The 17,335-nt window shown below is 48.9% G+C and overlaps 1 long non-coding RNA gene across 1 annotated transcript, besides 2 other annotated features; it reads right to left on the bottom strand.

Moving 5' to 3' along the window:
* Positions 5,371-9,777: an enhancer, noted in NCBI's record as "VISTA enhancer hs2565". NCBI's record gives its function as "enhancer in: heart[7/7]" and the evidence as "EXISTENCE:transgenic organism evidence [ECO:0001131][PMID:17130149]".
* Positions 9,130-12,723, bottom strand: LOC105372686 (uncharacterized). Its single transcript, XR_936906.4, has 2 exons — positions 12,294-12,723; positions 9,130-10,151 (listed from the first exon to the last, which is right to left on the bottom strand). It is a non-coding gene; the product is annotated as an uncharacterized LOC105372686 (long non-coding RNA).
* Positions 11,656-12,156: an enhancer, noted in NCBI's record as "H3K4me1 hESC enhancer chr20:55736368-55736868 (GRCh37/hg19 assembly coordinates)". NCBI's record gives its function as "activates a minimal SCP1, AML or CMV promoter by ChIP-STARR-seq in primed H9 embryonic stem cells {active_cell/tissue: H9 hESC(primed)}" and the evidence as "EXISTENCE:reporter gene assay evidence [ECO:0000049][PMID:30033119]".

The raw sequence follows: 17,335 nt of genomic DNA on the forward strand, positions 1-17,335 counted from the left end.
TTATTGCCTAAAGACCTAGAATCAATAGAAGGAAGGCTCTGGGTTAAAATAAGGGGTTGTGGAGACCAAGATTCCCATTATGCAGATGGAGCCTCCAGGTAGTAAGATTCAGAATCGATTGTAAATGTTTGTTATCAGACTTAAAAAGAAAAAGTGCCAGACTCTTAGCTAATTCTCTCCTGGATCAGGAATAAGGCCTGGAAAGGGAAGGGGATTCTCTACAGAAGGCAGATTTTCCCTACAAAAGACAGCCTTGCAGGGCTATTTCAAGATATGTCAAATAAATGTATTCGAGGTTATAATATTTAGATTTCCTTCTTTATCTGTCATGTGAGGTTATGCCAGCGTCAGGTTGGAAAGTGAGCCACATTACACAGGGTTAAACAAGACAGCTCTGACGGTTTGCTGAGGGGGACTCCCCACGCCTCTTAGATAGGAATCTGGGCAAGAGAAGAAAAAGGTCAGACTTTAGGCTACACATTGTTAATACCCTCACAGAGACAAAAGATTGAATTCATGAAACAAGAAGGAAACGCTATTTTTAAAAAAGAAGATCCTTCAGAGAAGCAAGTGTTCACTCTCATAAAATTATTAGTCAATAGGACAGTCAGAAGGTAAAGGTGAAGGAATATTCCAAAATTTTGCAAAAGAACATGGGAATAGAAAACAAGAAGTAAGAGGTAAGAAAATTAGAGGCTCCATCCTGGAACCCAACTTCCAACTTGTAGGAGTTTCAGAAAAAGAAAACAGATTGAATGGAGGGAGAAATTATCCTAATATTAAAATTCTTCAGAAAACTGAAAAGAAAGAAGATACTACAGGTTTTTAAAGGGAAATAAGGGAGAAAGTTTTACATGCAAAAGAACAGAAATCAGAATAGCCCTGAATTGGCTTAACAGCAATGCTAGAAATATTGCAACTGTGAACAGTGTAGAGCCAAACCTTGTTTGCCTTCTAAAGGAAAATTACTCTCAAACTAGAATTGGGTTGACTAGTATGAGATAAAATAATGAAGTTTCCAGATTTTAAATGCTTCACAAGTTTGCTTCCCTTGTATCTCTTTGCAGACATCTCCTGGAGAACTTGCTGCAGGCACACAGCAGTGTGAGCCATGAAGGAGGAAGGCACAGGATCCAGGAAAGGAGACCTGTCTTAGGAGGGAAGCAACAGCAAGTTCCATGAGAATTTGAAGAGAAGTCCTGTTACAGGATGGGGTCCTGATCCAGACCCCGAGAGAGGGTTCTTGGATCTCACACAAGAAAGAATTCAGGGCAATTCCACAGGGCAAAGTGAAAGCAAGTTTATTAAGGAAGTAAAGGAATAAAAGAATGGCTACTCTATAGACAGAGCAGTCCCAAGGGCTGCTGGTTGCCCATTTTTATGGTTATTTCTTGATGATATGCTAAACAAGGGGTGGATTATTCATGCCTCTCCTTTTTAGACCATATGGGGTAACTTCCTGACATTGCCAGGCTGTTTGTAAACTGTCATGGCGCTGGTGAGAGTGTAGTAGTGAAGACAACCAGAGGTCACTCTCGTGGCCATCTTGGTTTTGGTGGGTTTTGGCTGGCTCCTTTACTGCAACCTGTTTTATCAGCAAGGTCTTTATGACCTGTGTTTTGTGCTGACCTCCTATCTCATCCTGTAACCTAGAATGCCTTAGCTGTCTGGGAATGCAGCCCAGTAGGCTTCAGCCTCATTGTACCCAGCTCCCGTTTAAGATGGAATTGCTCTGGTTCACATGCCTCTGACAGTCCCAGTGGTACAGCCAGCCCGGGAGCCACGGAGAGAGAACCACAAGAAATAACTGAAAAAACTAAAACAAAAAGAAAATTACTCAATAAGTTACCTGATGTGTTTGTGCAGAGAAAATTTTAGGGTACTTTTCGATAGTTGGGGGAAGACATAATGATGGATCCAAAGAAAATTAAGCAGACTGTTTTCTAAAGGCAATTATAAACTCCAGGAAAAACAAAAGCTTGTGCAAGAAAGGAAATGATGCCATAAAATACTATATGGTACAGAGATAAACAATATTTATGTGACCATAATTATGTAAATACTAAAAAATCACTTTACCAAAAATTATGATCAGTATATCAAGAGCATGTGGGAGAAGTCTATATATGGAGGTGGTGTAAGGTTTTCAGTCATCATTTTTCATATGAGTGGTCAATAAATATTTCAGTCTCTTCAGGCTGCTGTAACAGAATACCACATTCTTAGTGATTTATAAAACTCACCAAGAAATTTACTGCTCATGGTTCTGGAGGCTGGGAATTCCAAGATCGAAGCTCCAGCAGATTTGATATGTGGTGAAAGTCTACTTTCTGGTTCATAGATAGGGCCTTTTTGATGTGTCCTCACATGGTAGATGGGATGAGGGGTCTCACTCAAGAAGAGCACTAATCTTATTCATGCCCTCATTCCTTAATCAGTCTCCAAAGTCCCCCCACCTTTTAATCTTTTTTTTTTGAGATGGAGTCTCACTCTGTTGCCCAGGCTAGAGTCCAGTGGTGTAATCTTGGCTCACTGCAACCTCCGCCTCCCAGGTTCAAGCGATTCTCCTGCCTCAGCCTCCCAAGTAGTTGGGACTACAGGCCGGTGCCACCACACCTGGTTAATTTTTGTATTTTTAGTAAGCGACCAGTACCCCAAGGTGATGGTATTAAAAGGTAGGGGGACCGGCTGGGCGCGGTGGCTCATGCCTGTAATCCCAGCACTTTGGGGTGCCCAGGTAGATGGATCATTTGAGGTCAAGAGTTCAAGATCTGCCTGGTCAACACGGTGAAACCCTGTCTCTACTAAAAATACAAAAATTAGCCAGGCGTGGTGGCACTCGCCTGTAATCCCAGCTACTCAGGAGGCTGAGGCAGTAGAATCGCTTGAGCCTGGGAGGCGGAGGTTGTGGTGAGCCAAGGTTGCACCATTGCACTCCAGTCTGAGTGACAGAGTGAGACCCTGTCTAAAAAAAAAAAAAAAAAAAACAAAGAAAAGGAAGAAAAAGAAAAGAAAAAAGAAACGGATAAAAGAGTAGAAATAAAAAGGAGTTTCCTCTGGAGGATATGAGTCCAGATTCAAAGATTTCATCAAGTGTCTAGTACAAGAAATTGCAAAATGATAGATACCAGTTTGTATCCCCACTGGGAGGAGGAGCCGGTGGTGGAGAGCAGGGTAGGACACAGCTGCTTTTTATTATCAATCTTGTATTAAAGTTTAACTTTTTATTTACTGTTGTACACATATAAATTCAATTTAAAAAGTAACAAAAGGACAGTTTTCTACAGGGAAAAAAAGTATCAAAAGGCATTCACTGGTATATACACCCCAAAACCATGGAGTGGCCTGCTTTCAGGTACAGCTGGATTCAGCAGCTCAAATAATGTCACCAAGACCTAAGGTGGCCAACTCAACCTCATTTGCCTGGGACTTTCTCAGTTTTAACACTTAAATTTCTGCAGCTTGTGAAAACCCATAGCATATCTTGTCTGAATATTCATGTCCCCTCACCCCCTGCAAATTCATAGGTGGAAATGTTAACTGCCAAGGTGATGGTATTAGTAGGTGGGGGACTCTGGGGAGTGATTAGGGCGTGAGGACAGAGCCCCCATGAATGAGGTTAGTGCTCTTATTTTTAGAAGGCTCAAGCGAGTCCCCTCACCCCATCTACCATGTGAAGACACACCAAAAAGGCACTGTCTATGAACCAGTCCCAGGCAAACCACAGTGTCAGTCTCCTCGTCAGGGCCCCGTTTTCCTCTTTCTCTGATCTGCTTTCTCAGCGTCAGCAGCATCGTGCTCAGATCCCCCGCAAGGTGGCCCTTCAGCAACATGGTGTGACTCTCCTATCCCAGATACTGACCACCACCGACTTCTCTGCTCTCTTTAAAAAGCGTCTTACTCCAATTTTATTTTCAACCTCCTGCTTTTCACGTTTAAGTTTTGTAGTAAGTCTTCCTCAAAACCATTTTTTGGAAACAGGCCATCTATAAATCCTAAATAAATAAATGCCTCCCTCTCCTTCCCACAGCTGTCGTGGTGTGGGAAGAGCGCAGAACGAGCTGGCAGGCTCCCTGATCGGTGGGGACCACCAGGGCACAGTGAATTTTTTAGCCTGAATGATCAGGTTTGCTCATCTACAGTGGCCAGAGAGCAGGAAAACGGCCACATCTCCTCCTCGTGCTGCGCTCAGTGGACTACCAGTAAAGTCACTTGTTTTTATTTTAATTCACCCACATCCGGGCTTGGGCACGAGGCTCTTTCCTGGGTTCCAGTTCAAGTTCTCTGATCAAGAGGCCCCACGTTTGTGATGTTCAAGGCCTGGAGCAGAAGCCAAGAGGAGAAAAACAAATTGCTGGTCTGTGGGAATAGAATCTAGGTTCCCTCTTACCTGGGCAGGGGAACCATTCCAACAGGCAGAATAGTGCGGGAGTTAGCAGCAGGAGTTGGGGTGGGACAAATCCGGCCTTAGACCCTGCACTGAGCTGTGAGCCCCTGGCAAGTTACTGTCTCTGGGCCAATCCGCTTTTCTCCTGGGCCATCGATAAGTCCATCCGGTGCCTTCGTGTGGGAGGAGGAAGGGTCCTACCTTTCTGGGTAAATGTGACCCCACACACACCTTGGGAGTGGAGCTGGGCTGGGTTTCAGCACCCACTGTCAGTTGGAGCCAATAACAGCATCTTCCCTTGCAGGCTGGACTGTGATAAAGGATGGAAGTGCTCAGGCCACACCTGGCTCATGGAAGGTTTGCAATGCACGGCAGCAAACAACTAGCAGAGAGCTTGCCCCTTTTCTGTTTCTAAAGTTGACTGTGTCCTCATATACTTATGTGTGATTGTGAAGCCCCCCAAACAAATTCAAATCAGTAAATTCAAAATTCAATAAAATAGCTCACCAGAAAATGTAAAATGAAAAAGACAGTATCACACAGTGGCAAGGATGTTGAGCAAATGGGTCTTCCACATGCTGCTAGTAAGGGTGTAAAAGGTTCAGCCACCTTGGAAAACAGTTAATGGGCAGATTCAACTAAAGTGGATCATTTACATATCCTATGGTCCAGCTATGCTATTCCATTTCTAGGATTAGACCCAACAGAATCACAGACATAAGTTCACCAAAAGACATGTTCAAGAATGTTCGTGGTAGCATTTTCTCATTAGCAAGAAACTAGAAACTACTAAATGCCCATCAACAGTAGAATGGAGAAACCAATTTGCTCCATTCACATCATGGAATATTATACAGGAATGAAAATGAATGAACTGCAGGAAACACAACTGCATTGGTAAACCTCACACAAACACATCACTGAGAAAAATTTCAGCCACACAAGAGCATATATTATGTTATTTTGTTAACATAACTTCCTAAAACAGGCAAAACCAATCTGCAGGGTGAGAATTCAGAGTAGTGGTTTCCCTTGCAGAGGAGGGGACGAAAGCTATCAGGGGCACAAGAGCACCTCTGGGAACCACGATGCTGTTTGCTCATCTCTCTCAGGTGCGGAGGGCTCACTTTGGGAGTATTCATTCTTATAATGTTGTGCCCTTTTGTATGGGTATCACATTTCAATAGAAAATTAAAAATAAAATACAATCACATAAACAGGATCATGGTTCCCCTGTGAACAGGGGTTGTGGGGACTGGGTTCACGGTGACGTCCCTTGTTGCTCTGGTCTCAGCTGAAATGTCACCTTCTCAGAGAAGCCACCTCTGAAAACTGTCCCCAAGCATTGTCGCAATCGCCAGTCCTCTGTAAACATCCACGAGGGCTTGTTTCTCCTGAGCGGTACTTCCTTTGGGGTGGGCTGTCTTGGGCTTGTTTGGTTGTGTTGGCGGATGATGTCTCCTCTGTCTCACCTCCCAGACGGTGAGCCCTGAGAGTGGGGCCTTGTCTGTCTTGCTTCCTGCTGCATGCTCGTTTCTAGAACAGTCCCTGGCACAGAGTAAGGAGCTAAGTGAGTCCTTGTGAGTGTGGATGTTGAAAGGGCTAGTCACACATTGATCAACAGAACAGAGGCGTGGAAAGGCACACACCCAAGTCAGGTTCTGGGGCCAAGCAAGCCCTGAGCAGACAGGAGCCTCAGAGGCCTGGGAGATGAGGCCGCGGGGTGGGTGGTTGAGGCTAGACCATGGTGTGAGAGGCCCCAGGGCCTCAGGGCCATTTGAGAACCCACCATGAAGGCAATAGGAGGCCACCAAAGTGTCTTCCTGCTGAAAATATATTTTTAATTTTTACATATTTTTTACATATTTATACTTCATGTATACGTATTTTTCTGATTCTATAAATATGTACTCATTGGAGTCTTAAAACCACAGAAAATCATAAAGAAGGAAATAAACATCACTGATAATCCCACCAACCTCATATAAACAATATTAACATTTCGTGTTTTTTTCTTTCAGTTTTATTTATTTATTTCTATACAAAACCCAGCTGTGATCAAGGTCCTGAATCCCAGGCATTGAGGCAGAAGGAGATGCCGTGCCAGGTGGATCTGGAAGATGCAGCTGCACGTAGGACTGGAGAGTAGCTGGGGGACCGCCAAGGAAGAGGCTGGGATGGAGCCCAAGGAGTGGGCTGGGGGCAGTGAGGCCGGAGAAGAGGGTCCACTTGGACTTCTCAATGGGGAGCAGATTGGATGGGACTGAGGCTGGGGTAACGGGAGAAGCCAGGGGCCAGTCTCAAGAGACTAGGAGATGGTGGTGCCCAAAACTTGGGGAGGGGAGAGGATGGCTGCAGCTTCATGCCTGTTGATGTCAAGGGGCCAGCAGGACCCTGCATGAAGACGTCCACGTGGCCAGAAAGGCAGGCTCTGCCGGCCAAAGCGAGGAGAGAGTGCTCACGATTCATTATAAAAGTGAGGAAGTGTCCTCTGAGCACGCCTCCAAGGCGGTTCTGCGCAGCTCCTGCTGGGGCAGCTGAGAGCGAACGATGTGCTGAGTGAACTCCTGAGGTTCAGCAAACCTGCGCAAAGGTTCCAGGGACCCATCTTCTGAGGGGCTTCTCCTGCAGGTGGTCCAGGCAGCCATCAAAGACGGGGCTGCAGGGGGGTCTGGGGCCCAGGATGACATTTGTTATTCAGTAAGTGAAGAGAGAAGGCTACAAAAATTGAGTATAATCCCTTTTGTATTAAAACAACAGCAAAACAATGTAAGTATGGATAGAAAAAAAGTCTAAAAATAAGTATAGCTAATATCCAGTGGAAGGAGAAGGTCAGATTTAAGGACAATTTTTTTTTTTTTACCTTTTCCTGTGTGCCGTTCTTTATTTCCAAATCTAGGACCAAGAATAATAAATGTGAACAAAAGAAGCATTCTGATGATGAACTGTGGGCAGCCACAGAAATGCTTAAGGCACGATATTGAAGGTGAGCACCCTTCAATATCCCTGTCCCTGAAGCAGGGACAAGGAGGTCACGGCTGGGCAAGGCTGGGAGGAGGAGTTCACAGGGCCCACTCTGGCTGAGGACATGGCGGCAGAGGCAGCAGCAGGTGCCTGTGCACCGTGGCTTTGGTTGGGTGTCACATACCAGGTGTGCCAGGCTCTGCCGCTGCCGCCATGCCTGCACAATCAGACGTGGAGCCCGTCGGACTATTTATACCCCTTGGAACATCAGCAGGCCAGCCAGGAGGCGAAGACCTTCGCAACATGTCCAAGGCCCGCAGCTGCTACCCCTCCTCACCCAGGGCTTCCGTGAGGACCTGCTCAGTGTTATCAGTGCACCCACTCCACAGATAAGAAGCTGTGCCTGGCCCCACTAATGGTATTATTTTAGGGACCACTCAAAGGACAGGCCAGGATTGGGGCCTGGGTCATCTGTCATTCCTTCCTTCATCGACACGCTAAATAAGGGTCAAACAGAGACCAGCACTTGTTTGCAGGGCTGGAGGGGCTCTGCCAAGCTGGAGTATCATCCTCCCCAGAGACTGCTGGGAAAGGCATTTGCTCAGAGCAGCTATTTCTGTCCCACTCACAGCACCTCTGGGTGACCCACCCACAGGTCAGAGTGACCTTGCAAGGTGGAAGGACAAAGACATTGCTGCCTAACTCTTGGTGAGAGGGAATGTGTAAGATGGCTTATGCTAAAACCTCCCAAAATAGAGATACCACAGATCTGGATTCTGTTACAAAGGGTCAGAGCTCAAATATGTAATTTCTCTGCTGGCTTTAGCATTCGAAACCGTTTTTACTCAGCATTTCTTTTTTCTTTCTTTCTTTTTTTTTCTTTCGAGACAGAGTTTCGCTCTTGTTGCCCAGGCTGGAGTGCAACGGTGCAATCTTGGCTCACCGCAACCCTTCTGCCTCCCGGGTTCAAGTGATTCTGCTGCCCCTGCCTCCTGAGTAGCTGGCATTACAGGCATGTGCCACCATGCCCGGCTAATTTTGTAGTTTTAGTAGAGATGGGGGTTCTCCATGTTGGTCAGGCTGGTCTCCAGCTCCCAACCTCAGGTGATCAGCCCACCTCGGCCTCCCAAAGTGCTGGGATTATAGGCATGAGCCACCACACCTGGCCCAGCATTTCTATAATTTAATTGTGTTAGATATGCACCACCGAGGGTCAAGTACAAGGATGTGGACCTTGGAGCAAATTGTGGCCAAAGTCACCACCCACCATCAGTCTCCACCTTCGCCCCCACAGATACCCCCTGCCAACACACACACATGCACGCACACACACACACACATATATAAACTTTTCTTGGGAATTATTTAGTCTGTTACTCAGTGACTTGCCTGTGGCATTAAACAATGATGTGAGTTTGAGCAAACATGCATCCAAGGTCAGATTCATCACACGTAATGTCCTTCCTAAAGCCACTTCCTTTTCCAGAACGAAAAAAAGAGCAGAGGAAACAGCTACAGGGTTTGGGATGAGGGTCAGCAGGTAAGGTCACTGCTCTGTGGGGGCACGTGCTCCTGGGCACACCTGAGAACGCTTTTCACTGATGACCCGAAGATGCGGCCCAGCACTACCAAAGGGGCCAATCAGATGAAGCCCACCCACAGGCCCCCGACTGTAACCTTGACCTGAAAGTGGGAGGCCCAGAAGACCAGGGTTAAGGCCCTCCCCAGGGTCACTCAACTGTGAGGGGCAGAGCCCACGTGTCCTGATTTCCAGCCTGTTGGTAACAACAATGACATTTATTCATCAAAACATGTCAAATAAGCTCTGCTGTGTGCCAAACACTGTGCTGGGAACTGGGGACACACAGTGACCAAAATAGACAAAGTTGCTGCTCTCTAGTCTTCTGTAAGGCATTCCATCGTTGGGTGACAATCAGTATTAAGGAGAGAAAGCAAGTGACAGGGGAAAAGAGATGGTCAGGAGGAGACTCAGGGGTCAACAGGGGTCAGAAGACTCTGAGAAAGGTGACTTTGGACAAAGACCTCAAGAAGCCTAGGGAATAGCCCTGCAGCTGTCTGCAGAAACAGCATTCCTGGTCCCAGAATCAACCCGCATTCACCAACCTGGAAGCTCTCTGAACCCCTTCTTTCAGGGAGGGGTATGCATGACTGATTAAATCTTTCGCCATTGGTGATTAGATCAACCTTCAGCCTCTCTCCCCTCCCCAGGGTCAGGAGGTGGGGCTGAAAGTTCTAACCCTCTAATCAGCATTTCTTTTTTCTTTCTTTCTTTCTTTTTTTTTTTTTTCGAGACAGAGTTTCGCTCTGGAGGGTTGATTCCATTGGCCATTCAAGGGTTACCTAATTAGCATAAACTCAGGTATGGTCAGGAGAGGATTGGTCTGAATGACAATCGATGCTCCCATCAGCCCGCTGAGGGGATTCCAAGGGTTTTGGAAACTCTGTGGCAGGACCAAATATTTATTTTTGATTCTATCACACCTTGCACAAAAGACTTTGCAGGTGCGATGGAGTTCAGGATCTTGAGATGAGCAGACTATCCTGAAATATGTGGGTGAGCCCCATGTCATCACAGGGTTTCCGTGAGACGGTCAGAGAGAGAGATGACAAGACTGTTGGGAGCAGAGGTCTGAATGAGAGCGAGTGGGGAATGCTTCAGTGCTGGCTGTGAAGATGGAGGGAGCGACTGTGAGCTAAAGAGTGGGGGTGCCCAAAAGGCTGGACAAGGCAAGGTTCCTCGGAGCTTCCCGAATAAGCCAGCTCTTCCGAGACGTCTGACCTTAAAAGAATAAATATGTGTCATTCTAAGGCACTAAGTCTGCAGTCATGTATTACAGCAGTCATAGGAAATGAAGACCGGGGTGGAGGGGGCAGACCTAATGCCAGCAGGAGCGGGGGTGTGTCCTGCATGGCCTTTCTGGTGATTTTACCCGAGTGAGGGGGGAGCCCTTGGAGGGCTTTAAGCAGAGGACCCTAAATGTCATCAGATCACGATGGCAGCTTCAATAAGCCAGCTCTGTGATAAATGCTCTGCTGACATCAACTTAATGAATGACCCCAGCAACCTAGAAGGTTATCATGACTGTGCCCATTTTACAGAAGAGGAAACTAAGGCTTCAAGGAGCTACGTGATGTGCCCGTGGTCACGCAGCTCAGAAAAGCTCCAAATTGTTCCTTTAAAAAGACACACAAGGTCCTTTGTCCGGTGGCCGTATTTGTTACAGGAGTTTCCCTTCAATAAATTCGCAGCTCTCCATGCCCCTTCCTAGCCTCCCGCAGGTCCCTGCGGCTCTCATAAGGAGGCAGACGCTGGCAGACCATAGGCTCATGATGGCCAGCCCAGCAGGCTGGATGTCACTGGGGTCTCCAGGAGGCAGGACAGGGCTCAACCCCAGCTCCTTCACTTGTCCACCTGAAGATCCTTGAGTAAGTGGACCCCAACCCTCGAAACCCCCGGCTTCGCCCCAGGCCTCAGGCTCCAGCCTCATTGTCTGACTCCAGCTTTTCTGATGCAGTGGTTCTCAACTGCGGGTAACTGTGTCCCCCAGGGGACACGTGGCAATGTCTGGGGGATGTTACTGGTATCTGGCAGGTAGAAGCCAGGGCTGCTGCTGAACACTTTACAATGCACAGGATGGCCCCACACAAACAGTGCTCCAAACCCTAACGTCACTAGTGGCAAGGCTGACTTCTCCTCTCCAGCTTCACTGCCTTTCCCCAGGAAGGGTCTCCTCTGGCTCTTAGCCTCAGTGTCTCCCTCATCCCTTTAGGCTTGGGGGCATTTTACATGGATTCCATGCACTCCGCCTTACACAACTTTGTACACGTCCCAGCCCCTTCCCTTCCACCTTCCGCCTTCAGTTGGTCCTAATTTGAGCCAATTTTGTTTCCTACAGGGATTCTTTGTTAATCCTTTTGTTTTGTTTTGTTTTTGTTTTTTTGAGACAGGGTCTTACCTTGTTGCCCAGGCTGGAGTGCAGTGGCATAATCACATTTCACTGCAGCCTTGAGGACCAATGATCCTTACCTCTCAGCCTCCCAAGTGGAGGGGATTACAGATACATGCCACCACACTCGGCTAACCTTTGTATTTTTTGTAGAATGGGGTTTCACTATGTTGCCCAGGCTACTTTGTTTTTGTTTTGGTTTTGGTTTTGGTTTTTGAGAGAGTTTCGCTCTTGTTGTCCAGGCTGGAGTGCAATGGCGCAATCTTGGCTCATTGATTGCAACCTCCGCCTCCCGGATTCAAGAGATTCTCGTGCCTCATCCTCCCGAGTAGCTGGGATTACAGGCATGCACCACAATACCCAGCTAATTTTTATATTTTTAGCAGAGACGGGGTTTCACCATGTTGGCCAGGCTGGTCTCAAACTCCTGACCTCAGGTGATCTGCCCGCCTCAGCCTCCCAAAGTGCTGGGATTACTGGCGTAAGCCACCTTGCCCAGCCTACTTTGTTAATCTTCTACCTGACACCTGCCATTGCCTGAGGGTTTCCTTGATGATGCACTCAGGAGCCTGTCCAGGCAGGGGGACATGTCACCCCAGAGCCCGGAGCCTCCTTCCTCCTGACCCCAGAGCCTGGGCTTCCTCCCCACTGACTCCAGAGCCCGGGCACCCCTCCCTCCTGACCCCAGCATATCCCTCTGCCCAGAACACTGCCTGCAGCTCGCAGGTGCTCAAGACGGACTTGTTGAATGATGAACGTGGCAGACGCCGAATTGGACTCTGAGTCCTTGCTCTGTCCTTTGGGCACAGGACCAGCTAGAGAATCTGCGCGGCCCAGGGCAAAATGAAAATGCGGGGCCCTTGTTCAAAAGGTATGAATAAATTCACGACAGCAAGAACAAAAGCATGAAACCAAACTCCAGGCCCTCCTGCGCACAGAACCTGAGGGACTCTTGGCCGGCCAGTAGTTCGTACCTGTCTTCCAACTCAGGCTGCCGGTGTGGGTTGGTGATCTGTGGACACCCTCAGTCCTCACACCAGTCTCCAAGCCACTCAGAGCTAGGCAAGCTCTGAGCCTTGCATTCTGCAGAATCCCGGGCCTAAGATCCGGCCCCATCTCGTCCACCATGAGAACCGTGTCTGAGAGGGACGGGGAGAAGCACCGAGACTCAGTCAAGGGACCGTGGCTCTTCCAGCCCAGGCGCATGCTGCCTCCATCCAGATGGCTGCAGCCACTCCAAAGCTTTGGAGAGTTCTGTGTTTTTCCTCTTCTATTTTTATTTCCTCAAATCCGAGACCAAGAGAGATCAGTGCCAGAGTCCTGGAGGGGTCTGAGCCAGGAGGAATTGATCCACAGGCAAGAAGAAAAACATGTCCGAAGGAGGTCACTGTGAGTGTCCTTGTCAGGGATAGACGGGCACCAACCCCAGTGTGGGCTGGGCCCTGACAAGGGCTGGGTCCTGTGAGGGAGGGTTGGTCCTGCCATCAGATGCCCCAGACTAGGGCTGGCCAGGGCCCCCTCTGCACTGCCCCACCCTGGAGGAGTTGTTTCCACTGACGCTTGTGTGAACAACTCCCCCTGGGGTTGTGAGGACCCAGCCCAGCAAACGTTTAAAGGTCCCATTTGGTCTATAGGGGCGCAAAGGCAGTCTGTGGCGCAGCTCTCAGGTTTGTGAGCGTTCAGTGAGTGAGATCAAGTGTGAAGCACTTGTTATGCCTTGAGAAGGGTCCTTGGCTCAGAGGGAGGGCTCAGAAGCTTTTACTGTCTTTTGCAAAGATTCAGACCAGTCATCCCATCCTCCTTCCCAGGCACATGTAGGATAACTGGGGTGACAAGTGACTCTATAAAGAATTGAGGGCCTACAGATAATAACGCCAAGCACATAAAACTCAGGTCTCAAATTGTTGAAATCATCGGATGGGGTGGGGGGATTCTTAGTGGGAGGCCCCTGGATTCCACTGCAGTCCCTGTTGTTTTATTTTGCACCTCCTCTGTACCAGATACTTTATTCTTAGCGCAACCTGCCGTGTGTGGTGTAGCTTAGGTACTGTGGGAAGCAGAATTCTAAGAGGGCCTCAAAGATTTCTGCCCTCCATATAATCTCCACCCCTTGAATGAATATGGTGGCTATTGCTCCCCAAAATGAAGGGATTCTGCCCATGTAATTAAGGTCCCTAATCAATTGACTTGGAGTTAAGCAATAGGAGATGATCCTGGGTGGGTCTGACCTCATCAGGTGAGCCCTTACAAGAAGTAAGAGATATTGTCCCACTAGCTTTTGAAGGACTCATCAGGTGAGCCCTTGCAAGAAGTAAGAGATATTCTCCCACTGGCTTTGAAGGATTCGCTGCCAAGTTGCAAGAGGGCCACATGGAAAGGAACTGAGAGAAGCCTCAGGAGCTGGAAGTGACTTGGCTGACAGCCAGCATGAAGATGGGGGCCTCAGTCCTACAATTCCGAGAGACTGAGTTTGGCCAAAACCTGAATGAGCTTGGACAAAGACCCTGAGCTGCAGATAAGAACACAGAGCTGACATCTTGCATTTAGCTTTTGTGGGATCCTAAGCAGAGAACCCAGCGAGGCCATACTTGCACTCCTGACCCATGGAAATTTTGAGAATAAATGGGTGATGTTTTAAACCACTTAAGTCCATCATAACTGTTACAATCATAGGAAACTAATACAGATAGGTAATTGCCAATTACCAGAGTCTTTAAAATTCTGCTGGTAATAGGACTTGGACTTCTGATTTTTGGCTGTGCCTAGTGTCACCCAGAATAAAAACCTATAGTTCCCAGTCTCCCTTGTAGCTAAGTGTGACTGCATTTGTGCTAAATGAGAGGTAAGTGGACCTTTTGCGTCTGATCTCTGGGTTGGCTGCTTAAAGAAAGCACACGAACCTAGAACACAGATGATATGGTCTGGCTGTGTCCCCACCCAAATCTCATCTTCAATTGTAACTCCCACAATTCCCACGTGTCGTGGGAGGAACTCGGTGGGAGGTGATTGAATTACGGGAGTGGGTCTTTCCTGCACTGTTCTTGTGATAGTGAATGAGTCTCATGAGATCCAATGGTTTTAAAAACGGGAGTTTCCCTGCACAAGCTCTCTCTGCTGCCATTCATGTAAGATGTGACTTGCTCCTCCTTGCCTCCTGCCATGATTTTGAGGCCTTCCCAGCCATGTGGAGCTGAAAGTCCCTTAAATCTCTTTCTTTTGTAAATTTCCCAGGCTCGGGTATGTCTTTATCAGCAGCATGAGAGCAGACTAATACAACAGATCTGACTGGTGCTCCAGCAGCCATCTTGGACCATGAGGTAGGTTGTGAGGATGAAGCCATGAATTAAGATGGCAGAGCAGAAAATTAGAAGCCTAGATCCTTAGGGGCAGAGTAAGACAACTACCACCCTGTCTTTGGATGGCTGACCTTCAGACTTTCAGATGAGAGAAAAACTTTTATCTTCTTTAAGCCACTATTATTTGGGGTTTTTCTGTTATATGCAGCTGCTCTTAAGTATCCTAAGTATAGGTAGGCACCATACCCATGTCACAGATGAAGGAACTGAGGCACAGAGAAGGTGATAAGTTGCCCAGATGGAGGTCTCACAGCTGACTAAGTAACTGGGTTGGGCTCTGAGCTGGAGCCAATCCCGGCCCCTCTGCCCAGCACGTGCTGCCTCTTGCCTGGTGGCATGAGAATTCTCCTTTGTCCCAGATAAATAAGAAGGCAGCAGATGTCTTCCCCAGGGGAAGTGAGTGTTTGTCCTCTCAGCCACCTCCACATGCAACCTTGACTGGGTGCCACTTCCCGCTCTAAACACCAGACAGAGTGGGCTTGTGCGCCCATCCCACGGCCAGTCTCTGCAGAGCAACCTCCCAGGACGAGGAGGAGGAAGGGGCAGCAGCTTGATTGGTGCAAGGTGGGACTGGAACCCTGCTTCCTCCAGGTACCCTTAACCCTCCCCACCGTGGCTTCCCCTGGTATCTGCATTTCCAATGGCCCCCAGTGCACTTTGGATGAAGCCCAGGGTCCCTCTGTGGTCCTCAATGCCATGCACAACCAGCCTGCTCCTTCTCTGCTAACGTCCTGCCTGCCTCCCTGTGCCGCAGCCACGTGGCCTTCTCGCTGTTCCTCCCGCCTGCCACCCCAGGGCCTTTGCACACACTCCTCCCTCAGGTGGAAGACCTCTTCCCTGCAGTACCTCCATCCCTGTCAGCCCACGTTGCCTGCATTCAGGTCTCAGCTGAAAGGGCCTTCCTCAGGGTCTGTCCCTGACCACCCTGTCCTCCCTGTCCCCCTACATGCTGTGGCTTCCCGACACACGTCATTCCTTGGCATTAAATGGCTCGATCAGGTCTGGCTTCTCCACTAAACACGGTAGGCACAGTGACTAGGCCCATGGGACTTTCGGGGCCACAAACATATTTTAATGTCTTTCAAAGTCAGAACAAATGAATGTAACTATTCCTGGATGATATTCACCTTGATGCCAACACAGTCAAAAACAACAATTTGTCTTATTTCTGGATGGAGGAGGGACCACAGCCATGCTGGCATGGGGCTGGGTCCTGTTTGTTTGCTGTATCCCCTGATCAGGACCCACTCCCGTGAGCGCAGACTTCTGTTCTGTTACCTGTACCCACTGCCCGCCATGGTGCCTGGTGTACGGTGGACACACGATGAATTAGTGAGTGAGCAGATGAAGAATGAACACTTCCGGCCAAAGAGGAAGCTCGTGCTGTCCCCAGAGCCCACCCTGCTCCTAGAAAGGGCATCGCATCGCACTTTGGCTGCCCCAAGCCACCGTGGTCATCCTTATTTATGGCCACCTGCTCCTGGATGGGGGACTCTGGCCTGGAGCCCCCGTCCAGCTGCCAGCCCCCTTGCAGAGAGTGCCCCCAGCAGTGCACATGAGAAGGGTTGGAGCTGGTGGGAAGCTGAGGTTGAGTTCCAGCCGTAGGAGCTCCAGAGTTCACTCTGCCCAGCATGGGCGGCAGCAGTGGCACCAACCAGGAACAGTGAGGACCAACTGAGGCTGGACGGAGAAGCTCTGTGGGGCCTGAGAACCCTGTGGTGGGAAAGGGAGAGGGTCTTGTGGTGGATTGAATGGTGGCCTCAAAAAAGATATGCCCACATCTGAATCCCTGCAACCTGTGAATGTGCCCTTACTTGGAGAGAGGGTCTTCACAGATATTAAGTATCTAGATCTTCACAGATATTATGAAGTATCTAGAGGAGGAGGTCATCCTGTGTTATCTGGGTGGACCCTAAATCCAATGACAGGTGTCCTTATCAAAGCCACACAGAGGGCCGGGTGCGGTGGCCCATGCCTGTAATCCCAGCACTTTGGGAGGCCGAGGCGAGTGGGTCACAAGGTCAGGAGATTGAGACCATCCTGGCTAACACAGTGAAACCCCGTTTCTACTAAAAATACAAAAAATTAGCCGGGCGTCATGGCGGGAGCCTGTAGTCCCCAGCTACTCGGGAGGCTGAGGCAGGAGAATGGCGTGAACCCAGGAGGCGGAGCTGGCAGTGAGCCGAGATCGCACCACTGCACTCCAGCCTGGGCAACAGAGCGAGACTCCGTCTCAAAAAAAAAAAGGCACACAGTGGAGCGATGGAGAAGGCCATGGGTAGACAGAGGCAGAGATTGGGATGATGCAGCCACGGGCCCAGGAACACCTGGAGCCACTAGAGGCTGGAAGAGGCTGGGAAGGGTCCTCCCCGAGAGCCTCCAGAGGAAGCACAGCCCTGCTGACACCTGGATTTTGGACGTCTGCCCTCCAGAGCCACAGGAATGAATCTGTGCTGTTTTAAGCCAGCAGTTTGTAGTGATTTCTTATGGCAGCCCCAGGAAACTCACATGCTCACTGTCTCCAAAAGATCTGAACAGAGGGCAGGACTCAAAACATGCCTGTGAGAATCCACTCTGTAGATGGCCCCGGTGACCACTGCTAACCCTCCCAGCCCCCCAGCACGGTCCACACACTATTGTCACCAGGCGATGGAGGAGAA

The sequence above is a fragment of the Homo sapiens genome, chromosome 20, assembly GCF_000001405.40.
Source record: "Homo sapiens chromosome 20, GRCh38.p14 Primary Assembly".
Taxonomy (NCBI): Eukaryota; Metazoa; Chordata; class Mammalia; order Primates; family Hominidae; genus Homo; species Homo sapiens.